Source organism: Homo sapiens, chromosome 2 (genome assembly GCF_000001405.40).
Source record: "Homo sapiens chromosome 2, GRCh38.p14 Primary Assembly".
NCBI classification, from domain to species: Eukaryota; Metazoa; Chordata; class Mammalia; order Primates; family Hominidae; genus Homo; species Homo sapiens.
Window position 1 is genome coordinate 101,607,457 of NC_000002.12, and position 9,073 is coordinate 101,616,529.

The window sequence follows — 9,073 nt, forward strand, 5'->3', positions numbered from 1 at the left end:
CTATGGTTAACTGTAAGGTATTGTGTATCACCCTACAGTTAGAAGAGAAGTTTTTAAATGTTCTCATGACAAGGAAATGACAAATGCATGAAGTGATGAATATGCTAACTACCCTGACTTGATCATTATACAACACATACGGGTACTGAAATATCAACTTGTATCCCATAAACACATACAATTATAACGTGACAATTTCTTTTTTTTTTCTTTTCTTTTTTTTTGAGATGGAGTCTCACTCTGTCACCCAGGCCAGAATGCAGTGGTGCAATCTTGGCTCACTGCAACCTCCACCTCTCGTGTTCAAGCGATTCTTGTGCTTTAGACTCCTGAGCAGCTGTGACTACAGGCGCCCACCACCATGCCCGACTAATACAATGTGACAGTTTTGGTTTTTTATTTGAGATGGAGTTTCACTCTTGCTGCCCAGGCTGGAGTGCAATGGCACAATCTCAGCTCACCACAACCTCCGCCTCCCGGGTTCAAGCAATTCTCCTGCCTCAGCCTCCTGAGTAGCTGGGATTACAGGTGCGCACCACCACATCCGGCTAATTTTTGAATTTTTAGTAGAGCTGGGGTTTCACCACATTGGCCAGGTTGTTTTCGAACTTCTGACCTCAGGTGATCCACCCCCCTCAGCCTCCCAAAGCACTGGGGTTACATGTGTGAGCCATCGCACCTGGCCAACAGTTTTTTTAAAAAAATCAGATAATTTCTGAGAGTGATAGGAGCTATGGAGAAAAAATTTCAAGGAATGGGACGAAATCATGGTCCTCAAACTTGGGCGTGCATGAGATCAGCTGGGCCCACCCTCAGGGCTCCTAGTCCAATAGGTCTGGAGTAGTGCCACGGAATTTGCATTTCTCTCTTTCTTTCTTTCTTTCCTTTCTTTCTTTCTTTCTTTCTTTCTTTCTTTCTTTCTTTCTTTCTTTCTTTCTCTCTCTCTCTTTCTTTCTTTCAGACAAGCTGAAGTGCAATGGCACAATCTCAGCTCACTGTAACCTCCACTTCCTGGGTTCAAGCAATCCTCCCACCTTGGCCTCCTGAGTAGCTGGGACTACAGGCGTGTGCCACCATGCCTGGCTAATTTTTTTTTTTTCACCATCTTGCCTAGGCTCATCTCCAGCAATCCACCCACTGTGGCCTCCCAAAGTGCTGGGATTACAGGAGTGAGTCACCACGCCCAGCCTGAATTTGCATTTCTTTCTTTTTTTTTTTTTTTTTTTTTTTTGCTCATCATCACTGGCCATCAGAGAAATGCAAATCAAAACTACAATGAGATACCATCTCACACCAGTTAGAATGGAGATCATTAAAAAGTCAGGAAATAACAGGTGCTGGAGAGGATGTGGAGTAATAGGAACACTTTTACAGTGTTGGTGGGACTGAATTTGCATTTCTAACAGGTTTCCAAGTAAAACTGCTGCTGGTGGTCTGGGGACCACACGTGGAGAATCCCTGGAACAGAGACAGTTGGGATTAGAATGGGGAATGGGGGAAGCCTCTCTACCTATGTGTGGCATTTGAGTTGAGATGTGAATGACGAAAATGAGTAAATCACTGGAATTATGAGGAAAAAAGGTTTCAAGCACAGGATATGGCAAATGCAAAGTCCCCAAGGTGGGAAAATGAGCTCCTGATGTTGGAAGGACAGAACAAAGATCTGCTGGGTGTTGAATGAGGCAAGAGTCAGTTTAGCCCCAACTCAGTTTGATTCTTTCTTCTCCTACTGCTCCTCTGGGCTGTGTTGTTTAACATGAAAATCAGAATGTCTTTCACAACAAAATAGTGGCAGTAGATTGACTTAAAAAAGAAAGATCCAATATAGGATTACTTTAAATGGGCTCCTCCTTTGGCACCTTTGAAATATTTCAGTTGTCCTTCACTCCAATTTCCAACTGCAGTTTTTCAAATAAAAATAACCTCTTGTGTTACATGCAACGTATGTTGATGTTGTATATAATTTAATTATCTATTTTTTATCTGGGCAATTTGCCAAATCTTCAAGTTGTTTCAAAAGATCAAAGACAGGATCTGTGCCTTTTCTTTCCTCATTCTTACACCCCAGTGCTTTTCAAATGTAAATGTGCCTAGAACCTAACTCACTGAGCCTCCCTGGAGAGGAACCTTTATGAAGGAAGAGTGGTAGCTCAGGTGAACCTCTGAGACCCTTACCCAATCCCTGCCCCAAGGAGCATGGGTAATCAGTCTGGGAAAGGGTGAGGTCTAGGATTCCACTGAGTTCTCCGTCAAGGTGAGCCCAGTCTGTTAGGGGAATTGACTTTCCTCTTTCTCTCAGCAGACTTGCCTGGGGCTGCTTCTGCGGCTTCGTGTTCATTACCTGCCTTTGTTTTTATCTGCTCTGATGAAGCGGTGATGTTCTCCAAGATTGATAGAAAGAGCCTACTGATCCAATTTCTACGAGAAATGAAGACTATCAAGCATTCTAAATTTCCTAAACATTGTACAATTGACAGTTGGCTGGAGCATCCAGAAGTTTATTATTGTTGAGTTTTATGGGCTGAATTGGGTCCCTCCAAAATTTGTATGTTGAAGCTCTAGCCCACAGTACCTCAGATGTGACTGCATTTGGAGGTAGGTCTTTGAGGAGGTAATCAAAGTTAAATGAGGCCATTAGAGAGGGCCCTATCCAAAATGACTGACATCCTTACAAGAAGAGGAGATTAGGCCACACACACACAGGAAGGCCAGTTGAAGACACAGGAGAAGGGGACCATCTACGAGCCAAGGAGAGAAGCCTCAGAAGAAACCAACCCTACCCACATGTTGATCTTGGACTTCCAGCCTCCACCAGGACTATGAGGAAATAAATTTCTGTTGTTTAAACCCCCAGTCTGCATGGTAGCCTTTGCAAACTAACACAGTGAGTGTATGTGTCTTAGATTCTTATAGAAATTTTGCTATACATCTCACTCTGCACTTTTAAAATAAATTTCCTTTTATAAAATAAAAGAAGGCTGGGCACGGTGGCTCACACCTGTAATTCCAGCACTTTGGGAGGCCAAGGCGGGCGGCTCACCTAAGGTCGGGAGTTTGAGACCAGCCTGACCAACATGGAGAAACCCCATCTCTACTAAAAATACAAAATTAGCCGGGCGTGGTGGCGCATGCCTGTAATCCCAGCACTTTGGGAGGCCAAGGTGGGCGGATCACCTAAGGTTGGGAGTTTGAGACCAGCCTGACCAACATGGAGAAACCCCATCTCTACTAAAAATACAAAATTAGCCGGGCGTGGTGGCACATGCCTGTAATCCCAGCTACTCAGGAGGCTGAGGCAGGAGAATCACTTGAACCTGGGAGGAGGAGCTTGCAGTGAGCTGAGATCGCACCATTGCACTCCAGCCTGGGCAACAAGAGTGAAATGCTGTCTCAAAATAAATAAATAAATTAAATTAAATAAAGGAAACCAGGTCTCCCCCCTGAGAAAATCTTGCAGGTTTCAGTTCTGCAGAAAACCTATTGGCCAGAGCCAGTGAGAGGAGACTGAACTCCTGCCTTCTGCTGCAAATTTTGATGGGTGTCTCTCTATCCATAAGACAGCTCTATCTCTTGACTTCTGTTTTTCTCACTCTGGCCTGGTCAGCAAACAGGATTTGTGGGTTGTTGCTTGGGTTTCGTATTTCACATTTTGTTGAAATACACCCTGACCCAGATTAGTCCACCTAAGTAGTTAGGAAGAAAAAAAATCCAGATTCTTCCCCTGTCCCTGAGGTTCAAGGGGTGCTAAGAATGAAAAGCCCTTCTCTATGCCAACAATGACACAGCACCGGATATCCATAAGAGAGACTCCAGAGTGAGGAGGGAACATACACCAAGTCCTTTGAGTCCTGTTGAGGGAACTTTCAGTCTGAATAAATCAGAATTCCTTCGGTTGCAAGTGACAGAAAACCAGCTCAAACTAGCTTAAAACAATGAAAAAGGAGAGTGTGGAGAGGCCTCTCTAAGTAGGGTGTCCAAGTCCTGGTGGTTTTAGTCAGGTATAGTTGGATCCTTGGTTCGGTATACTCTGCTTCCCTGATATGTTGGTAAAGATGGCCACAGATTTGTCTTCCATAGAGATACTGATCCCAGGCCGGGCGTGGTGGCTCACGCCTGTAATCCCAGCACTTTGGGAGGTCAAGTAGAGTGAATCATGAGGTCAGGAGTTCGAGAGCCTAGACAATATGGTGAAACCCCGTCTCTACTAAAAATACAAAAATTAGCCGGGCGTGGTGGCATGCACCTGTAATCCCAACTACTCGGAAGCCCAAGGCAGGAGAATTGCTTGAATCCAAGAGGCGGAGGTTGCAGTGAGCCAAGATCGCACCACTGCATTCCAGCCTGGGTGACTGACCAAGACTCCGTCTCAGAAAAAAAAAAAGAGAGAGAGATACTGATCCCAAAGAAAAAGTCATGTCTCTTGTTACAAACCTCTATGGGAGAACCTTGAGTGGTCCAGCGGGGTCACCTACCAATTTCTAAAACAATCAATGTAGCCAGGATGGTAGAGGATCTGGGCCACACAACCTACCTACCTCTGGGACTGGGAAGTGGGGTGAGGGTGGTTGGCCCCATCCAAGCCGCTGAGAGTAAGGAGGGTTGGTTCCTCCAAGAGGTGCCAGGAAGGAAGAAAGTGAACACATGAAACATGAATGTATAGGTTGGTGCAGGCTTATAGAAAGTGCTCAGCAATGAGTGGCATAAAAAGTGCTTAAGTTTCAGGAGAGTTAACCTGAGGCAAAGAAAAAAAAAAAGTGCTTAAGTGACAATTTGATAAAAAAGGGAAAAGTGCTGTTCCAAAAATTTGAAAGGCTGTCTTGTGGAAGAGAGAGAGGAAAGAAAAGAGGATGAAACTCGAAATTATGTGTAGAAGTTGTAAAAGAGGTAGATTTCACTTTAGTGCAAGGAAAACCCTTCCAGAACCCAGGAACAACAAAAAGGGGTTGCTTCGTGAATTGATGGGGTCCCCTTTCCTAGCTGAGTCCTAGCAGGGATGAACGGCCACCCACCAGCAATGCAGAAAAGGGAGGTTCAAAAGCAGGTGAGTTAGGGGCTAGACTGATGCCAAGACCCCATTTCGACCTCAACATCTGATGATTAGGAAACACTGGTGGCTCACGCCTGTAGTCCCAGCACTTTGGGAGGCCGAGGCGGGGGGATCACTTAAGGCCAGGAGTTCGAGACCAGCCTGGCCAACATGGCAAGACCCCATCTCTAATAAAAATACAAAAGTTAGCCGGGTGTGGTGGTGGGTGCCTGTAATCCCAGCTACTTGGGAGGCTGTGGCAAAAGAATCTCTTGAATCTGGGAGGCGGACGTTGCAGTGAACCAAGATCTTGCCACTGCACTCCAGCCTGGGCGACAGAGTGAAACTCTGTCTCAAAAAAAAAAAAAGAAAGAAAGAAAAGAAAAAGAAAACACTGAAGCAGTAAAGAAGGTGCAAACCTGAACCTGAGAGGAGCACCTTGGGCAGCATCAAGGAATTTTTTAAGGCAACATTTCCTGAGGCTTGACCACGAGCCAGGTTCTGGCTAAGGGTTTGCATCTCTCTCCCCCATTTAAACCTCACAGCAACTCTTGAAACAAGTTTTGGCGACTTCACTTCATGAGCGAGGAAACTAGGATGCAGAGAGGTTGAGTAGCTTGCCCAAAATGATGCAGTAAACAGCAGAGCTGGGCTTTGAATTCAGGCCAACTGCACTTTAAGTCCCAGCTCTTTGCCTCTTTGCTCTTGGGACACAGGCAGGCCTGCTTCTTCGCAAAGAGCAGCATCACGCACCTCCCTCTGCTCACCTACCCCTCCCGCCCGATTGGGATCAAGGTCGACTTGATCCAGATGGCGGCAGGCAGGTCTAATGAGATGTGAAGGGATTCCCCATGGGGAGCCAAGAGTGGCTGGGAGAGAATCCCAGATTCACATCCCCCAACTTGAGATGTCAGGAGCAAATGCGGTAGCCATGCACTAAAAACAGCAGCAGCAACAGCAAAGTCAGCACTCTCACTGAACCCTTTCTGACTCCCGTCCGTCCAATTGCTTAGGTTGGAAGGACCTCAGGCCCCCAGGTGTGGCATGGGCGCCATCTGCCCTAGGCCCCCACATGCACAGTCAGACTCCGCCCCCACCATCCCCAGCATCCACATGGACAACATTGCCAACGGGCCCATCTTTCACGGACACGACTTGCTGTTTCCTCTCAAAATGGCAGAAAGCACCTGCTCAGGCACTGACACACACACCTAGGAATTTATATTTCTCTTTTTTAGAGAAAGTAAATCTTGAAATAAATAGACTGATAGGCCAGGCCCAGTGGCTCACACCTGTAATCTTGGCACTTTGGGAGGCTGAGGCGGGAGGATTGCTTGAGCTCAGAGAGACCAGCCTGAGCACACACAGTGAGAACTTGTCTCTAATAAAAAATTTAAAAAGGCCGGGTGCGGTGGCTCATACCTGTAATCCCAGCACTTTGGGAGGCTGAGGCGGGTGGATCATGAGGTCAGGAGATTGAGACCATCCTGGCTCACACGGTGAAACCCTGTCTCTACTAAAAATACAAAAAATTAGCCGGGCGTGGTGGCAGGCACCTGTAGTCCCAGCTCCTGGGGAGGCTGAGGCAGGAGAATGGTGTGAACCCGGGAGACAGAGCTTGCGGTGAGCCGAGATCGCGCCACTGAACTCCAGCCTGGGCAACAGGTGAGACTCCGTCTTAAAAAGAAAAAAATAAATAAATTAGCTGAATGTGGTGGCACACACCTGTAGCCCCAGCTATCTGGGAGGCTGAGTCAGGGCGAGGTGGGAGATCAAGGCTGCAGTGAGCTATGATCATATCACTGCACTCCAGCCTGAGTGGCAGAGCAAGACCCTGTCTTAAAATAAATAAATAAATAGAAATAGATAACATGGAGGCCTCCTGGACTCTGGACCCATGTGTGTATTGTTTCTTACAAAGGATTAAACAGAACTGGGCCACCTCTCACTTGGTTCAGTTATTCGTTTTCCCAAAGCTTCCTGTTTCTCTTCCCCTCTGTGCCTGATGCTAATCATCAGATTTCCAGGTTGGTCATGGCTTCAGAAGTTTCACTGAGGCATGTGGTGATCTGAGCTTGTGGTCTTTGTTTCTTTCTTCAGCTCTGCAGTTAATGATGAACACCGCAACAGCCACCTTATCAAATACTTCCAAATGCCAGCCTGAAACTCACATGGGAGATTGACAGAGGCCAAGGACGTGTGATTTTTAAGGTAAGCATGTGATGGCTTTGACAGGAATACATTTTGAGAGGTTAACATAGCACTGAAGAGATGGTTTATTTTAAAGGCAGGCCATAACTCAGGATCACGAGCTTGGAGACTTGAATGCAGCAAAAGGCAAACTGAGCTTGGCTCCTGCAAGAGCCTCCTGTAAACGTGAGCTGTGTCCCAGCAGCCTTCGAAGGTGGACTCTAAAGAGAAAATGTCTCAAAGTATTGTAGAAGATGGCTGTGACTTGGAGTTGTGTTGGGGAAAATTTTGCAAGCACATTATTAGAATATATCAATTAAATATGACATCAATATGAGAGTTAAGGTGAAATTCAAATTCCTTGCTGGAAACAACCATAGCAATGACTCATCCTATAGGTCTTGAATTAAAGCTATATTTCAGTAACACTGTATATTTCAAAACCACAAAATGGAAGCTTTGATTTTTCATTCAGTCACCTGAAAAGTACTATAACAGTATTCGAGAGCAATGAAATTGCATTTCAGAGACCTGACATGAGATAGCTAGTTGGTGTTCAGAAAGTGTTTGGGTTTTAACGACCCCTTCTGATTTGTTCTTCACTCAAAGCTGCTGCCAATAAGCTACTCCTAGAGGATACTGAAAGATCCTTTCCTGTTTTTAAAAGAAATAACATGCTTCATCAACAATTATTACAAACTTTGGAAGGAAACGGTACTGCAGGAGCTCTATCTCTTTTTCTCCAGTGAAAATTGCATTTCTATAATTCAAGATCTAGTCACAAGGGCTTAAGCAAGACCTTGTGCCAGCAATCAGGCATGGATCAAATGCACTTTTGCCTTCCTAAGGTAAGTTCAATTAAAAAATAAAACTGTCATAGAACTTTCACAGGATAAGGTGTGATTCCTGAGTCTAATATTTCAAAGATATTTTTATGCAAGATAAAGTAAGTCATAGATGGCCACCTGTTATTTCCTTAGGGATCCCTTTGTCTGGGAAGAAATGCCTATGAATTGTCCCAGGTTGGCCACCACTAAGAAATGGAGACATCAGAATGCTCCTGGACAAAGCTGCCTCCATAAGTTTTGTTTCATTTTTAATTTTCATTGAAAATAATAGACATATAGCTGGGTGCACAGTGGTTCACGCCTGTAATCCCAGCACTTTGGGAGGCAGAGGCCAGCGGATCACCTAAGGTCGGGCATTCGAGAGCAGCCAGGCCAACATGGCGAAACCCCATCTCTACTAAAAATACAAAAATTAGCTGGGCTTGGTGGCACACGCCTGTAGTCCCAGCTACTCGAGAGGCTGAGGCAGGAGAATTGCTTGAACCTGGGAGGCGGAGGTTGCAGTGAGCCAAGATCACACCATTGCACTCCAGCCTGGGCGACAGAGACTCTGTCTCAAAATAATAATAATAATAATAGATATACAGAAACATGCATATATCATTCGTGTCCAGCTCGATGGATTTTCACAAACCAAACACACCTGTTTAACCAGAACACAAGCAGCACCCTAGAAGCTGCCTCATTCTCCCTTTCAGTCACTGCTGACCCCCAAGGGTAACCAATATTCTAATTCTAATACCATAGATAAGTTTTGCCTTGTTTTATACTTTGTGGAAATGGAATCACGCAGTCTGTTTCCTTTTGTGTCTGGCTTCTTTCACACAGTTATGTCTGTGCCATCCATCCATATTGCTGCCTGTTATTTCAGACAGTTTCTTCTCTCTGTTGGCTGGTATTCCATTATGTGAATACACCGCCATTTATTTATCTATCCTACAGCTGACGGACATTTGAGTAGCTTCCAGTATGGGGCTGCTAGTGAGCCAGCTGCGAGAGTGTGTCACAT

The 9,073-nt window shown here is 45.4% G+C and overlaps 3 annotated features.

Moving 5' to 3' along the window:
• Positions 473 to 1,018: an enhancer, noted in NCBI's record as "H3K27ac hESC enhancer chr2:102224391-102224936 (GRCh37/hg19 assembly coordinates)". NCBI's record gives its function as "activates a minimal SCP1, AML or CMV promoter by ChIP-STARR-seq in primed H9 embryonic stem cells {active_cell/tissue: H9 hESC(primed)}" and the evidence as "EXISTENCE:reporter gene assay evidence [ECO:0000049][PMID:30033119]".
• Positions 1,563 to 2,106: an enhancer, noted in NCBI's record as "OCT4-NANOG-H3K27ac hESC enhancer chr2:102225481-102226024 (GRCh37/hg19 assembly coordinates)". NCBI's record gives its function as "activates a minimal SCP1, AML or CMV promoter by ChIP-STARR-seq in naive and primed H9 embryonic stem cells {active_cell/tissue: H9 hESC(naive and primed)}" and the evidence as "EXISTENCE:reporter gene assay evidence [ECO:0000049][PMID:30033119]".
• Positions 2,107 to 2,650: an enhancer, noted in NCBI's record as "OCT4-NANOG-H3K27ac hESC enhancer chr2:102226025-102226568 (GRCh37/hg19 assembly coordinates)". NCBI's record gives its function as "activates a minimal SCP1, AML or CMV promoter by ChIP-STARR-seq in naive H9 embryonic stem cells {active_cell/tissue: H9 hESC(naive)}" and the evidence as "EXISTENCE:reporter gene assay evidence [ECO:0000049][PMID:30033119]".